The sequence below is a fragment of the Homo sapiens genome, chromosome 10 (assembly GCF_000001405.40).
Source record: "Homo sapiens chromosome 10, GRCh38.p14 Primary Assembly".
Taxonomy (NCBI): domain Eukaryota; kingdom Metazoa; phylum Chordata; class Mammalia; order Primates; family Hominidae; genus Homo; species Homo sapiens.
This window is the reverse complement of record NC_000010.11, coordinates 43,409,259-43,424,866: the sequence shown is the minus strand read 5'-3', so window position 1 is coordinate 43,424,866 and position 15,608 is coordinate 43,409,259. Positions and strand designations below refer to the sequence as shown.

The following is a 15,608-nucleotide window of genomic DNA, read 5'->3' as shown; positions in this document are numbered from 1 at the left end:
TTGCAGTGAGCTGAGATTACACTATTGCACTCCAGCCTGGGTGACAGAGTGAGACTCCATCCCCCAACAACAACAATAAAAAAAAGAAAAGAAAAGAGAAAGAAAGAAATATTGAGAATTAGTTTTCTTTGTAAAAACCTACCAAGAGGCCCGGTATGGTGGGAGACAAGAAGCAACACAACCACATGCCTTTCTGTGCATGAGTGAACGAAATAACAGACTTTCAAAGAAATTACGCAACTTGTCACTGATCATGTACATTTGTTATTCACAGTGCTTTGTGCACTGACGAGCTGGCAACGAAGTTTATATTTTATGTAATTGCTCATACTTAACATACTGTAGTAACTGATATTTGAACCCTGTTGTTGGGAGACTGATGTTACTTAACAAAACCATGGTAAGCGAAATCCATGCATATCTGGGCCTTGTACAATCAAGTCTGGCTGTATAATGTATTTCTATGACATTGGACAAGTCCCTCCGAGAGATAAAACCACCCATCTCTCAGAGTTACCATGCGAAGTAGTGATCACATAAATATGTTCTACACAGCAGTGGGCAGACAGCTGCCAGGCTTTTGAGTAGGAATAATTAATATTTGTGGCAGCAGAAACAAAATCTAGTTTTTTTGTAAAAAATTCCAAAATTAGCCAGGTGCGGTGCTCATGTCTGTAATCCCAGCACTTTGGGAGGCCAAGGCAGGCGGATCGTGAGGTCAAGAGATAAAGACCATCCTGGCCAACATGGTGAAACCCCATCCCTACTGAAAATACAAAAATTAGCTGGGCGTGATGGCACGCACCTGTAGTCCCAGCTACTCACGAGGCTGAGGCAGGAGAATCACTTGAACCCGGGAGGCGGAGGTTGCAGTGAGCTGAGATTGCACCATAGCACACCAGCCTGGGTGACAGAACAAGACTCCATCTCAAAAAAAAAAAAAAAAATCCAAAATTGCTTTTAGATTCCTACTGATGTGATTAAACAGAAGACTCAATACTTTATGGAAATATATACATTTCCTACGCCCAGCTAATTTTTGTATTTTCAGTAGAGACAGGGTTTCTCCATGTTGGTCAGGCTGGTCTATGAACTCCCAACCTCAGGTGATCCGCCCACCTTGGCCTCCCAAAGTGCTGGGATTACAGGCATGAGCCACCGTGTCCGGCCAGCAGTCTGAAACTTCTTAAGTCTTACCTAAATTATCTAGTTTTGAGAGGATGAAGGCAGTTAGAATGTCTAAAGCAAGGTACTGTGTAACTACAAAAGAGGACTGTTGCCTTGTTTCCAGGGATGGAGGAGGTAGAATAGGGGTATAAGGTGAGAAAAGGGATGGTGTTCCGCACAGTGTTCTGTGTTTTTCTGAGTCAGATCTACATGGGAGCTTCATTATTTGGTTTGCAATTTCTAAAATACTCTTAACTCTAGTCCCAAGTGCAAGAATGAACATATTCCAGTAACAAATAACAGATTAAATTTTTTTTTTTAATTAATTTATTTTTTTTTTATTGATCATTCTTGGGTGTTTCTCGCAGAGGGGGATTTGGCAGGGTCATAGGACAATAGTGGAGGGAAGGTCAGCAGATAAACAAGTGAACAAAGGTCTCTGGTTTTCCTAGGCAGAGGACCCTGCGGCCTTGGCCTTCCGCAGTGTTTGTGTCCCTGGGTACTTAAGATTAGGGAGTGGTGATGACTCTTAACCACTGCCTAATCCAGTCTGCCTGGATGCCAGACTGGGCAGCCAGGCAGAGGGGCTCCTCACATCCCAGACGATGGGTGGCCAAGCAGAGACGCTCCTCACTTCCCAGACGGGGTGGCGGCCGGGCAGAGGCTGCAATCTCGGCTCTCCGGGAGGCCAAGGCAGGCGGCTGGGAGGTGGTTGCAGCGAGCCGAGATCACGCCACTGCACTCCAGCCTGGGCACCATTGAGCACTGAGTGAACGAGACTCCATCTGCAATCCCGGCACCTCGGGAGGCCGAGGCTGGCGGATCACTCGCGGCTAGGAGCTGGAGACCAGCCCGGCCAACACAGCGAAACCCCGTCTCCACCAAAAAAAAACGAAAACCAGTCAGGCGTGGCGGTGCGCGCCTGCAATCGCAGGCACTCGGCAGGCTGAGGCAGGAGAATCAGGCAGGGAGGTTGCAGTGAGCCGAGATGGCAGCAGTACCGTCCAGCCTTGGCTCGGCATCAGAGGGAGAGGGAGAGGGAGAGGGAGAGGGAGGGGGAGGGAGAGGGAGAGGGAGAGGGAGAGGGAGAGGGAGAGGGCCCCTTTGTTTCTTATAGGAGATGCTGGGTAATCCAGATTAAATTTTTGACATCTATAATTTTAGTTTGCTATAGCATGTTCCTTTCTAAGTGTTCTCTTTTATTTTATTTATTTAGTTATCTATTTCTTGAAATGGAGTCTCACTCTGTCGCCCAGGCTGGAGTGCAGTGAAGCAATCTTGATTCACTGCCACCTCCACCTCCCAGGTTCAAACTATTCTCATTCCTCAGCCTCCGGAGTAGCAGGGATTACAGGCGTGTGCCACCATACCAGGCTAATTTTTGTATTTTTTAGTAGAGACAGGGTTTTGCCATGTTAGCCAGGCTGGTCTGGAACTCCTGGCCTCAAGTGATCCGCCAGCCTTGGCCTCCCAAAGTGCTGGGATTACAGGCGTGAGTCACTGTGCCCGGTCTAAGTGTTCTTTCTATATGGAAATACAGATATATTGATGAGTCATATGCATAAGGATAACAAAGTCCACCACTTTTTTTTTTTTTTTTAAGAGACGGGGTCCTGCTCTGTCACCCAGGCTGAAGGGCAGTGGTGTGATCCCAGCTCACTGTAACCTCAACCTCCTAGGCTGAGTAATCCTCCCACCTCAGCTTCCCAAGTAGCTAAGATTATAGGTGCACACCACCACACCTGGCTAATTTTAAAATTTTTGTAGAGACAGGGTCTCGCTTATGCCGCCAAGGTTGGTCTTGAACTGCTAGGCTCAATCGATGCTCCCGCCTTGGCTTCACAAAGTGCTGGGATTACAGGCGTGAGCCACCAAGCCCAGCTAACTCATAGTCTTTAATACAATTTTTTCCCAGCATCTATAAAATGGTCATTCAGGAGAGTGTAGAAACAGCTTCTCTGATGAGTGGATTGCTCATCATATTCTGATAGTAGTCACTGGAATTAATATTGGTAAGAAGCAGTTGAGACCTGTAAGAGCAAAGAGAGACGATTTATTTCAAGAGGGTGCCCAGATGACCTGCAAACAAGTTTGCTCCAATGAGGCCCCTGAATTTGGAGAAGCAATGAAGGAAGGAGAAAGGGCTAAAATAACATAGTCGGTTGTTCCAATATTCCAAACGGGAAAAATGGAAGAAACCACTGATAACATTTTGAAGTACATCCTTCCAGAACTTTTTAATGTATATTAAAGTATACATTATATATTTAATCACTATACCCTAATCCATCATTCTAGGGAAATGTACACGGGATCACTATAAAAGTTCTAGATTATCTCTCTCAGCCCAGCCCCAAGTCTTCCCGAAGGCAGAAAAGTTGACCACTTGTCCGATAGTAGGTTAACCTCTGCTGCGGGTGTTAGGATGGCAGTAAGAACTCAGGCTTGTCTCTAAGCACCCAGTTATTGAAGCATGGAGTACATGGTACAATTCCTTATCTCTGTTAGTGGACTCCTGTATCTATCAGGGTTAAAGAGAGAAACCACCAGTCACGTGTATGTGCGATGTGTTTCAGGGATCTGAGTTACGCAACCGCGGGAGTGGAGGGCTGCAGGAACATGCTGGAACGCACCTCGGGTCTCATGTTCTCCGCACCTCTGACCTCGGCAGCGAGGACGTCCCGCAGAGGGAGGGGACCCTTCACAGAGCTGCACACGCCTGGCCCCGGAAAGGCGAAAGGAGGAGCCAAAAGAGGCTCTCGGCCGGGCGCGGTGGCTCATGCCTGCAGTCTCAGCACTTTGGGAGGCCCAGGCGGGCGGATCGCTTGAGCCCCGGAGTTCGGCAGCAGCCTAGCCAACATGGCGAGACCCACGTCTCTACTAAAAATACAAAAAAATGTAGCCGGGAGTGGTGGCGCCCGCTGGTGGTCCCAGCTACCGAGCGGCTGAGGCGAGAGGAGGCTGAGGCTGCAGTGAGCGGTGATCACGCCACTGCACTCCAGCCTGAGCCACAGAGCCAGACTAGGTCTCAAGAAAAAAACAGAGGCGAGTGGCAGCCGCTCTCCGCAGAGCCTGGGAGTCCGCGTCCCGCCCCGCGCAGCAGGCGCGCCCGGCACCCGCCCCGCCGCCGGCAGCGCTGGAAGGGCGCTCTGGGCCACGTGGTCCTGCGGCCGCCCCGCCTGCTCCGGGTGGGCCTCAGGCGGCCTGCCCCTGGAGGATCCCGCGTTGGGCGGGCTCAGTGTTTCCTGATACCAGGCGGCTGTGAGGCAACTTAAGTTTTCTGAGGAAACTTTGGTTTCTTTTTCTTTGTCCGCAAAAGACGTCAGCCCTAACCCTTGTTTCTCATTTTTCGCGGGTCTCTCTCATTGCCTTCACACACCAGTTTTAACCACAGTTAAACTGGGAAGGAGCTGAGCACGGTGGTGGCACGCGCCTGTGGTCCCAGCTACTTGGGAGGCTGAGGACGGAGAGATCGCTTGAGCCCGGGAGGTCGAGGCTGCAGTGAGCCGGGATCGCACCACTGCACTCCATCCTGGGCTATACAGCAAGACCCTTCAACAAAAAATAATTTAAAAAAACAAGGCTGGGCGCGGTAGCACACTCCTGTGATCCCAGCACTTTGGAAAACGGAGACAGACGGATTGCTTGAGCCCAGGAGTTCAAGATCAGCCTGGGCAACATAGCGAGACGCGTCTCTATAAAAAGAAAAATACAAATATTAGCGGGGCGTGCTGGCGAGAGCCTGTGGTCCCAGCTACTCTGGAGGCAGAGATGAGAGGATCGCTTGAGCTCAGGAGGCAGAGGTTGTAGTGAGACCAGACTGCGCGCCATTGCACTCCAGCCCGGGCGAAAAAGTGAGACCCTGTCTCCAAAAAGTAAAAAAAAAAAAATTTAAAAGGGGAATGGTAGGGGGAAAGGAAGGATAAGGAGAGATTTGCTAAAGGATATACATAAGTACAGCTATCTGGTTTTCTATGCCATAGGATGACTTTGGTTCACCATAATAGTTTCAAATAGCTAGGAGAAAAATATTGAATGTTCCCAACAGGAAGAAATGATAAATATTTGAGATGATGGATGTTAATTATCCTGATCACTATACGTTATATGTATCAAAACATCACTATGTACCCCATGAATATGTACAATTATTTGTCAATTAAAAATTATTTTAGGCCAGGTGCAGTGGCTCACGCCTGTAATCCCAGCACTTTGGGAGGCTGAGGTGGGCGGATCACGAGGTCAGGAGATCGAGACCATCCTGGCCAACACGGTGAAACCCCGTCTCTACTAAAAATACAAAAAATTAGCCGAGCGTGGTGGTGGGCGCCTATAATCCCAGCCACTCGGGAGGCTGAGGCAGGAGAATGGCGTGACCCCTGAAGGCGGAGCTTGCAGTGAGCTGAGATCGTGCCACTGCACTCCAGCCTGGGCAATACAGCAAGACTCTGTCTTAAAAAAAATTATTTTAAAAAGATCAACTGATCTTTATGAACTATCTTTTTTCCCCACTCTCTGTTGTTGGAGGGAAGAAAACTTCAAAGTCAACATTATTAAGAACCATTATGATGAAGATTTTATAAAAAGCTCAGATTTGGCCAGGCACGGTGGCTCATGCCTGTAATCCCAGCACTTTGGGGGTCTGAGGCAGGTGGATCACTTGAGGTCAGGAGTTTGAGACCAGCCTGGCCAACCAATGGTGGAACCCCATCTTTACTAACAATACAAGGATTAGTTGGGCTTGGTGGCACATGCTTGTAATCCTAGCTACTTGGGAGATTGAGGCGGGAGAATTGCTTAAATCTAGGAGGTGGAGGCTGCAGTGAGCCAAGATCGAGCCACTGCACTCCAGCCTGGGTAACAGAGCCAGACTCTGTCTCAAACACAAAAACACAAACAAAACAGTTTACCTTGGGTGAGGTATGGTGAGATTAGATGCAGCACAGGAGTTACAAACCAGTTTTACAGTTTTTGTTTTTGTTTTTTGTTTGAGACAGTCTTTTACTCCGTCACCCAGGCTGGAGAGTAGTGGAGCTCCAGCCTCCCAGAGGAGGTTGCTCCTCCACCTCCCGGTTTCAAGCGATTCTCCCTCCTCAGCCTCCCGAGTACCTGGGACTACAGGCGTGCGCGCCACTATGCCCAGCTAATTTTTGTATTTTTAGTAGAGCCAGGGTTTCACCATGTTGGCCAGGCTGGTCTTGAACTCTTGGCCTCAAGTGATTGCCTGCTTCTGCCTCCCAAAGTGCTGGGATTACAAGCGTGAGCCACCACGTTGGCCCAAGTTTTAGTTTTGTACTCTCATTTCCCTGGGGCTTCACACAAGGCCACTCAGCAGGAGCAGAAGGGGTCACTAGGCAGAGGGAGTGAGGGGGGAACTGCAGAAGAGCCTTTGTTGTGGTTTTTGCAGGAAGAGAAGGGTTAGGCAAGGCCAACAGGTTTGGGATTGGCTAATTTGAGTAATTTCCGGGGGCTCAGGGGCATGGGGCTGGCCCTAGTTGTCTGGTAACTGGCCCTGGAGTGATTACGGTGTATAATGGTCCCGAGTGTTTGAGCCTGATAACAGAGGTGGTTGGGGGTGCAGACATAATCGGCAGCTCAAGAAGAGGAACTAACTGGCTTTTAGCCAGAGCCTAAAATCTAAGTCAAGACAGCACACACCCACACACAAACTACGTTGCCTGAAACAATATTCTTTAAAGATATTTACCTAAAGGGCCACAAATTTTATTAAATCTCTGATCCTGAAACTTCAATACTCCCCACTGACTATATAAAGTTATCTTCAGGTTTTTTGTTGTTTTTTTTTTTTTTTTTTTTTTTGAGAAGGAGTCTCGCTCTGTGGCTCAGGCTGGAGTGCAGTAGAGCCATCTCGGCTCACTGCAAACTCCACCTTCTGGGTTCAAGCAATTCTTCTGCCTCAGCCTCCCGAGTAGGTGGGATTACAGATGTGTGCCACCACGCCCAGCTGATTTTTCTATTTTTAGTAGACACCGGGTTTCACTATGTTGGCCAGGCTGGTCTTGATCTCCTAACCTCAGGTGATCCACCTGCCTCAAGCCTCCCATAGTGCTGGGATTACAGGCGTGAGCCACCGCACCCGGCCTGTATTTTTAGTAGAGAAGGGGTTTCGTCATGTTGGCCAGGCTGGTCTCAAACTCCTGACCTTAGGTGATTCACCCTCCTCAGCCTCCCAAAGTGCTGGGATTACAGGCATGAGCCACTGTGCCTGACCAATTTAGAAATATTTTATCATTCAAAAATTAGGCGGCTTTCAGGGATCATTTCTATAGTCTGCTACTAGAGTACTTTCTGTGAAAGTGTAGAGCCCCCGGAAACGACAGGAGGTGCAGTTTTCTCCTGAGTGTGAAGCCGGCGCTTGGTGTTGCTTTCGCCATTGAGGTTTCTTCTCCTCCGTGGGGGAATGAGAGGGAGAGGACACAGGCTGAATGGTTTGAGTTACCAAAGTAAAAAAATATATTTACAGTAATGCTTTTTAATTTTTATTTATTTATTATTCGAGACAGAATCTTGCTCTGTCGCCCAGGCTGGAGTGCAGTGGCATGATCTCGGCTCACTGTGACCTCCGCCTCCCGGGTTTAAGCGATTCTCCTGCCTCAACCTCTGGAGTAGCTGGGATTACAGACGCGCACCACCACGCCTAATTTTTTTTTTTTTTTTTGAGACGGAGTCTCGCTGTGTCACCCAGGCTGGAGAGCAGTGGTGCGATCTTGGCTCACCGCAAGCTCCGCCTCCCGGGTTCACGCCATTCTCCTGCCTCAGCCTCCTGAGTAGCTGGGACTACAGGCGCCTGCCACTGCGCCCGGCTAATTTTTTTTTTTTTTTTTGTATTTTTAGTAGAGACGGGGTTTCACTGTGTTAGCCAGGATGGTCTCGATCTCCTGATTTCGTGATCCTCCCGCCTCAGCCTCTCAAAGTGCTGGGATTACAGGCATGAGCCACTGCCCCCAGCCACTAATTTTTGTATTTATAGTAGAGACGGGGTTTCACCATGTTGGCCAGGCTGGTGGCGAATTCCTGACCTCGTGATCCGCCCACCTCGGCCTCCCAAAGTGCTGGTGTTATAGGTGTGAACCATCGCACCCGGCCTGCTTTTTATTTTATTATTTATTTATTTTTTCTGAGACTGAGTCTCGCTCTTGTTGCCCAGGCTGGAGTGTGCAGTGGCTCAATCTCGGCTCACTGCAAACTCCGCCTCCCGGGTTCAAGCGATTCTCCTGCCTCAGCCCCCTGAGTAGCTGGGATTACAGGCGTCCACCACCACGCCCAGCTAATTTTTCTATTTTTAGTAGAGACCGGTTTCACCATGTTGGTCAGGCTGGTCTCCAACACCTGTCCTTGTGATCCGCCAGCCTCGGCCTTCCAAAGTGTTGGGATTACAGGCATGAGCCGCTGCGACGCCTGGCCAGTAATGCTTTTTTTTTTGTTTGAGAGTTTCACTCTTCTTGCCCAGGCTGGAGTGCAATGGCACGATCTCGGCTCACCGCAACCTGCGCCTCCTGGGTTCAAGCGATTCTCCTGCCTCAGCCTCCCTAGTAGCTGGGATTACAGGCATGTGCCACCATGCCTGGTTAATTTTGTATTTTTAGTAGAGACGGGGTTTCTCCATGTTGGTCAGGCTGGTCTCGAACTCCCGATCTCTGGTGATCCGCCCGCCTTGGCCTCCCAAAGTGTTGGGATTACAGGCGTGAGCTACCGCGCCTCGCAATTTTTTTTTTTTTTTTTTTTTTGAGATGGAGTTTCGCTCTTGTTTCCCAGGCTGGAGGGCAGTGGTGTGATCTCCACTCAGCACAACCTCCACCTCCCGGGTTCAAGTGATTCTCCTGTCTCAGCCTCTCAAGTAGCTGGGATTACAGGCATGTGCTACCACGCCCGCCTAATTCTGTATTTTTAGTACAGACATGGTTTCTCCGTGTTGGTTAGGCTTATCTCGAACTTCTGACCTCAGGTGATCCCGCCCACCTCAGCCTGCAAAAGCACTGAGATTACAAGCATGAGCCACCGCGCCTGGCCCAGTAATGCTTTTTAAAGAGCCGAAAAGCACCTCAGAGCACTGGTTTATCTATAATCTTTTTTTTTTTTTTTTTTTTTGAGACAGTCTTGCTCTGTTGCCCAGGCTGGAGTACAATCTCACTGCAACCTCCACCTCCCCGGTTCAAGTGATTCTTCTCCCTCAGTCTCCCGAAAGCTAGGATTACAGGCACAGGCACATGCCACCACACCTGGCTAATTTTTGTATTTTTTGTAGAGATGGGGTTTCACCATGTTGGCCAGGCTGTTCTCGAACTCCTGAACTTGTGATCTGCCCGCCTCGGCCTCCCAAAGTGCTGGGATTACAGGTGTGAGCCACCACACCTGGCCTATCTGTTATCTTTTGTCCAAAAACAATAAAAGAGCAAAATGTCTGTTAAATTTGTTATATATCTATAATTTTCTGTATGTTTCAAATATTCCATAATTTTTTTTTAAATGTAAGTTAATAGGAGAAAAAGAAAGGCAGAGAGAAAGAGAAGGTGCATGCTGTCCTGTCCCTTGCACATTTTGATCCAAATGAAGTTTTCTGACTCTTCTGAGGCTCCATAGAGCTGAAGGCATCTAACTGTACACAGTTTTTGGTAGGAAAACTCATGATCAGACTAAAAGATGATGACTTAGAATGAAAAAAGAGCTGGCCAGGTGTGGTGGCTCATGCCTGCCTATAATCCCAGCACTTTGGGAGGCCAAGGCAGGCAGATCACTTGAGGTCGGGAGTTCCAGACCAGTATGGCCAACATGGTGAAAACCTGTCCCTACTAAAAATACAAAAATTGGCTGGGCGCAGTAGCTCATGCCTGTAATCCCAGCGCTTTGGAGGCCGAGGCAGGCGGATCACCTGAGGTCAGGAGTTCGAAACAACCCTGGCCAACATGGCGAAACCCCATCTCTATTAAAAATACCAAAAAAAAAAAAACTTTAGCTGGGCATGGTGGTGGGTGCCTGTGATCTCAGCTGCTCAGGAGGCTGAGGCAAAAGAATCGCTTGAACCCAGGAGGAGGAGGTTGCAGTGAGCCCAGATCACACCATTGTACTCCAGCCTGGGGTAGAAGAGGGAAACTCCGTCTCAAAAATAAATAAATAAAATAAAAGTAAATAAATAAAAATACAAAAATTATCCAAAAATTGCTTGAACCTGGCAGGCAGAGTTTGCAGTGAGCCCAGATCGTGCCACTGCACTCTAGCCTGGGCGACAGGGTGAGACTCCGCCTCAAAAAAATAAAATAAAAGGGTGAAGAAAGAGCTAGAACTTAGCTTACTAACATCCAAGTGAGTCCCTCAGTTGCTTGCTTGGCCTGCTGGGGAAATGGGCAAAGTAAGGGCAGCCACTCCACCAACACTGGCCACTACCACCTAATCAAGCTGTGGTCCTTTATTGGGCAAAGAAACCAATTCAAGCAAGTAACCAGCAAGCTCAGGTATCCCATAATCCTTCTTTCACTATTTAATACACAGTAAAAAGTGCTATTTGAAAGAACTGTCAAGTTCTCTGAAAGAATTGCAAATAACCTAGGGATCCAGCCTTCCTGGTGGTAGCTCACTTCAGTGAGTATCAGAGCAGCTTCAAAGTTGCACTTTTCTTTCTTTCTTTTTTTTTTTTTTTTGAGACGGAGTCTCGCTGTCGCCCAGGCTGGAGTGCAGTGGCGCCATCTCGGCTCACTGCAAGTTCCGCCTCCCGGGTTCACGCCATGCTCCTGCCTCAGCCTCCCGAGTAGCTGGGACTACAGGCACCCGCCACCTCACCTGGCTAATTTTTTGTATTTTTAGTAGAGACACGGTTTCACCGTGTTAGCCAGGATGGTCTCAATCTCCTGACCTCGTGATTCGCCGGCCTCGGCCTCCCGAAGTGCTGGGATTACAGGCGTGAGCCACCGTGCCCGGCCTCAAAGTTGCACTTTTCTATATTGGTCATGAAAATTAACCAGACAAGGCTGTCACTGCCGAATGTGCCTCTTCCCACCTGGGTTATCTCTGCCTCCTAGAGCACCTCGCTTCAAGGAGAAAAGTGACATTTAGACAGGGCCTATACTGACTAGACAGGTCAGTTGGCTTTCTCACTTCCTTCATTCTCCTCTCAGATGGGAAAGGGAGGAGACAGCCTGAAAAGCCCGTTTCTCGCTAGGATCTAGATTGCAGTAGTTGAGAACGGACCCTGGAATCAGATGGGGCCTCCAGCCTCCATACAACTTCCAGCTCAGCCATCTAGAAGCTGGGTGACTCAGTTTCTTTCCGCCAAATGGTGGTAGTATCTACTGCAGGGTTGTTACCAGGTTTCAGTGGGATTAAGTAGAATAGCACAAAGCATAGTGAGAATGCAGTATGTGTTAGCTACGGTTATTGCTATTTAACAGATACTATGATTTTTGAGCAAGAGACATCTCTGAACCTTGGTGATCCCTGCCTACTTAATGGCACCGTCTTGCGGGAAGGGGGAATCTCAGCTTAATAGGTAAGGTGATTTTTCAAGAACTACTGAGTAGAAGATTTAAAAACCTCTGTAACGCTCCAAACCTGTAACCAATTGTATGGATAAGTAGTGTCTAGAGGGGAACTTATTTTTTAAAACTGACAATATTGGCCAGGCGCGGTGGCTCACGCCTGTAATCCCAGCACTTTGAGAGGCGGAGGCGGGTGGATCATGAGGTCAGGAGTTCAAGGCTAGCCTGGCCAACAAGGCGAAACCCCGTGTCTACTAAAAATACAAAAATTAGCCGGGCCTGGTGGTGGGCACCTCTAATCCCAGCTACTCGGGAGGCTGAGGCAGGAGAATCGCTTGAACCTGGGAGGTGGAGGGTGCGGTGAGCCAAGATCGTGCCATTGCATTCCAGCCTGGGTGACAAGAGCAAAACTCCGTCTCAAAAAAAAAAAAAAAAAAAAACCTGACAATATTTATTAAAAACTATTAAGTTTTTGGCTGGGCGCGGTGGCTCACGCCTGTAATCCCAGCACTTTGGGAGGCCGAGGCGGGCGGATCACGAGGTCAGGAGATTGACACCATCCTGGCTAACACGGTGAAAACCTGTCTCTGCTAAAAATAAAAAAAAATTTGCCAGGCGCCGTGGTGGGCGCCTGTAGTCCCAGCTACTCGGGAGGCTGAGGCAGGAGCATGGCGTGAACCCGGGAGGAGAAGCTTGCAGTGAGCTGAGATCGCACCACTGCACTCCAGCCTGGGCGACAGAGCGAGACTCCGTCTCAAAAAAAATAAAGTATTAAGTTTTTGATAATAATCAATGTACATAAACAACAGGAAATAATCAGGCAGGTCAGTCTGTAAGGGGCAACATCTTGGAATTCAATTGTTTTAAACCATAGATCTTAAAGGTTCATCTCTGTGTAGATGCTCTCAAGCATCAAGGTGCTCTCTGAATGTTTAGATTTCAGAGCTTAGGTAAGACATTTCTATGGACACAGAGGTGAAAGGGCTACAGATAAGGAGGTAGTCCAGGTGGACCAGGTGTGGATGAGCATTTGCGAGTTGGTGAAGTGAGCCCAGTGTGGAAAAGGCCTAGGACCTGTGGCATCATTCTGAGTGATGCCAAGTCTTCACTGTGGGATAAAGCCTACATGTGACTGTGCTGGTACTCAATGCTGAAAAAGATATAGTGGACACCTGGGATGACTCCTTAGGACGGCAGGAAGTTCTATAATCAGGCCAAAGTACTAGTCTTGCATTCAGAGAAGACCGTCTCCAACAACTATTACCTCATTTATGAATAATGGAGAACTGTCAAATTTGAGTGAGGGGATCAAAGGTCCACTTAGCTTAGAGGCTTTTTTTTTTTTTTAACTTTTAAAATACAGACTGGGTCTCACTATGTTCCCCAGGCTGGTCTTGAACTCCAGGGCTCAAGCAATCCACTGGCCTTGGCCTCCCAAAGTGCTGGGATTACAGGTCTGAGTCACCGCACCCAGCCAGAGAGACTCTTAATACAAAGATTGCATGAATATATCTTCTTGCAGCTGGTTTAACAGTCCCTAATTTCTGAAGCATTACTAGTCTTTTGGTTTAATTTTCTTTCTTTTTTTTTTTTTGAGACAGAGTCTTGCTCTGTCGGCCAGGCTAGAGTGCAGTGGCAAAATCTTGGCTCACTGCAACCTCCATCTCCTGGGCTCAAGCAATTCTCCTGCCTCACCCTCCTGAGTAGCTGAGATTACAGGCATGTGCCACCACGCCCGGCTAATTTTTGTATTTTTAGTAGAGACAGGGTTTCACCATGTTGGCCAGGATGGTCTTGAACTCCTGACCTCAGGTAATCCGCCTGACTCGGCTTCCCAAAGTGCTAGGATTACAGGCGTGAGCCCTTTTGGTTTAATTTTCCTAATATTCGATTTAAATTGGCTACTTGAATTTTTCTCTCCAGAAACATCTTTCTACAGCATGAGCTGTGATGCAGTCACTGTATGACTTTTTTTTTTTTTTTGAGACAGAGTTTCGCTCTTGTTACCCAGGCTGGAGGGCAATGGTGCAATCTCGGCTCACTGCAACCATCACCTCCTGGATTCAAGCGATTCTCCTGCCTCAGCCTCCAGGGTAGATGGGACTACAGGTACGCGCCAACACGCCCGGCTAATTTTTTTTTGTATTTTTAGTAGAGACAGGGTTTCGCCATGTTGCCCAGGCTGGTCTCAAACGCCTAACCTCAGGTGATCCACCCACCTCGGCCTCCCAAAGTCTTGGGATTACAGGCGCGAGCCACCGCGCCCGGCCGGCCACAACTTCTTAAGAATACCTACCTATCTGATTTTCGCCCCTTTCCTATGATGCTGAATACCTATCTGATTTTTGCAGGAACTATTTTCTGTAATTTTGCCTCAAATTATGCAGTTTTCTCTTTGGACATTTTTACCTATTCTGACAGCTCCTGCTTTACTCTTTCCATTCTCTTTCTTGGAACTAGCTTTTTCTTTTAACAAACTCCTTCCTTCATCACAATCATCCCACTCATCATCTGACACTATTTTGAGCACTCCTTTACTTTCTCTGGTGATTTAAAAAATAACGTTCAGCCAGATGCGTGGCTCAATCCAGTAATCCCAACACTCTGGGAGGCGTAGGTGGGCGGATGGCTTGAGTCCAGGAGTTCCCGACCAGCCCGGGCAACACAGCGAAACCTCGCCTCTACAAAAAATACAAAATTTAGCCGAGAGTGGTGGTGCTACTCAGGAGGTTGAGGCAGGAGGATCGCTTGAGCCCAGGAGGTCGAGGCTGCAGTGAGCCGTGATTGTACCACTGCACTCCCGCCTGAATGACAGGGCGATACTCAGTCTGGAAATAATAACAATAGTAACAATGTTCAGCTTAACCTGTGATGAGTGCCTTGACATCATCTCTTCATGAAGAAGATCCACCAAAATAAAATGGTTACAATTATTAGCCCTACAATACATCAAAAAAAAAAAGAAAAGAAAGAAAATCTGTCCCTGGCTTAGCCATTAGCCACCAAATCTGTGTGTTCAGGTGCTCTGTGACTGAAAATCTTGCCCTCGACCTGGGTCTGAGTTACATTCTGAGGTTTGGGGGCTTCTCACACCACGGAATTTATCACCTGAGCAACTTCAACCTGACAAATCCCTCCTAACGCCCTGCTCTGAGACCCCTTTAGGCGGTCTCCGGAGTACTCAGTGTACCTTTTTTTTTTTTTTTTCTTTGAGACGTAGTCTCGCTCTGTCGCTAGGCTGGAGTGCAGTGGCGCGATCTCGGCTCACGCAAGCTCCGCCTCCCGGGTTCAAGCGATTCCCCTGCCTCAGCCACCCGAGTGGCTGGGACTACAAGCGCGCGCCACCACGCCTGGCTAATTTTTTTGTATTTTAGTAGGGGTTTCACTATGTTGGCCAGGATGGTCTCGATTTCCCGACCGCCTGATCCGTCCGCCTCGGCCTCCCAAAGTGGTGGGATTACAGGCGTGAGCCACCGCGCCCGGCCTTCAGTGTACTACTTTCCTTATTTTATTTTTTGAGACAGCGCCTCGCTCTGTCGCCCAGGCTGGACGCAATGGAGCAGTCACGGATCACTGCAGCCTCGACCTCCCGGGCTCAAGCGATTCTCCCGCCTTAGCCTCCCAAATTACTGGGACCACAGGCTTGCGCCACCACGCCCTGCCATCGGCTCTCATTTCCTTTTCCCATCCTAGTCTTCCATCAGGCGTCCTTTCGGCGCACATTTCAGTGTCCTGCGGGGCTCACCAGTGTCCTTCCTCCAGGGCCTCAGGGGCAGTCAGAGGGATCTTTCCCGCCGCTCCACTCCCTCCTCCTCCTCCCCCTCCCCCTATCCCCTCCCCTCCCCTCCCTTCTCCTCTCCAGAAACGTCCTCGCTTGTCCGCCTCCACCGCCTCCCCCGCCAGCCGTGTCGGCTCTGCTCCGCGCCCAGCCGGCCAACCGGCGGCTCAGCT

At 48.8% G+C, this 15,608-nt stretch overlaps 1 long non-coding RNA gene and 1 other non-coding gene across 2 annotated transcripts, besides 5 other annotated features; one reads left to right on the top strand and one right to left on the bottom strand.

The window, feature by feature from the left end:
- Window positions 1–1,464: 1,464 nt before the first annotated feature.
- LINC02916 (long intergenic non-protein coding RNA 2916) lies at window positions 1,465–4,248 on the bottom strand. Its single transcript, NR_186397.1, has 2 exons — window positions 3,801–4,248; window positions 1,465–3,197 (listed from the first exon to the last, which is right to left on the bottom strand). It is a non-coding gene; the product is annotated as a long intergenic non-protein coding RNA 2916 (long non-coding RNA).
- Window positions 3,453–4,189: an enhancer, noted in NCBI's record as "H3K27ac hESC enhancer chr10:43916126-43916862 (GRCh37/hg19 assembly coordinates)". NCBI's record gives its function as "activates a minimal SCP1, AML or CMV promoter by ChIP-STARR-seq in naive H9 embryonic stem cells {active_cell/tissue: H9 hESC(naive)}" and the evidence as "EXISTENCE:reporter gene assay evidence [ECO:0000049][PMID:30033119]".
- Window positions 4,016–4,095: an enhancer, noted in NCBI's record as "active region_3299". NCBI's record gives its function as "activates an Ori minimal core promoter by ATAC-STARR-seq in GM12878 lymphoblastoid cells {active_cell/tissue: GM12878}" and the evidence as "EXISTENCE:reporter gene assay evidence [ECO:0000049][PMID:35858748]".
- Window positions 4,186–4,445: a silencer, noted in NCBI's record as "silent region_2331". NCBI's record gives its function as "represses an Ori minimal core promoter by ATAC-STARR-seq in GM12878 lymphoblastoid cells {active_cell/tissue: GM12878}" and the evidence as "EXISTENCE:reporter gene assay evidence [ECO:0000049][PMID:35858748]".
- Window positions 7,427–7,617, top strand: SNORD3J (small nucleolar RNA, C/D box 3J). Its single transcript, NR_145740.1, has one exon. It is a non-coding gene; the product is annotated as a small nucleolar RNA, C/D box 3J (small nucleolar RNA).
- Window positions 8,992–9,286: a silencer, noted in NCBI's record as "tiled region #12153; HepG2 Repressive non-DNase unmatched - State 9:DNaseU". NCBI's record gives its function as "represses a minimal TATA promoter and a strong SV40 promoter by Sharpr-MPRA in HepG2 cells {active_cell/tissue: HepG2}" and the evidence as "EXISTENCE:reporter gene assay evidence [ECO:0000049][PMID:27701403]".
- Window positions 15,262–15,491: a silencer, noted in NCBI's record as "silent region_2330". NCBI's record gives its function as "represses an Ori minimal core promoter by ATAC-STARR-seq in GM12878 lymphoblastoid cells {active_cell/tissue: GM12878}" and the evidence as "EXISTENCE:reporter gene assay evidence [ECO:0000049][PMID:35858748]".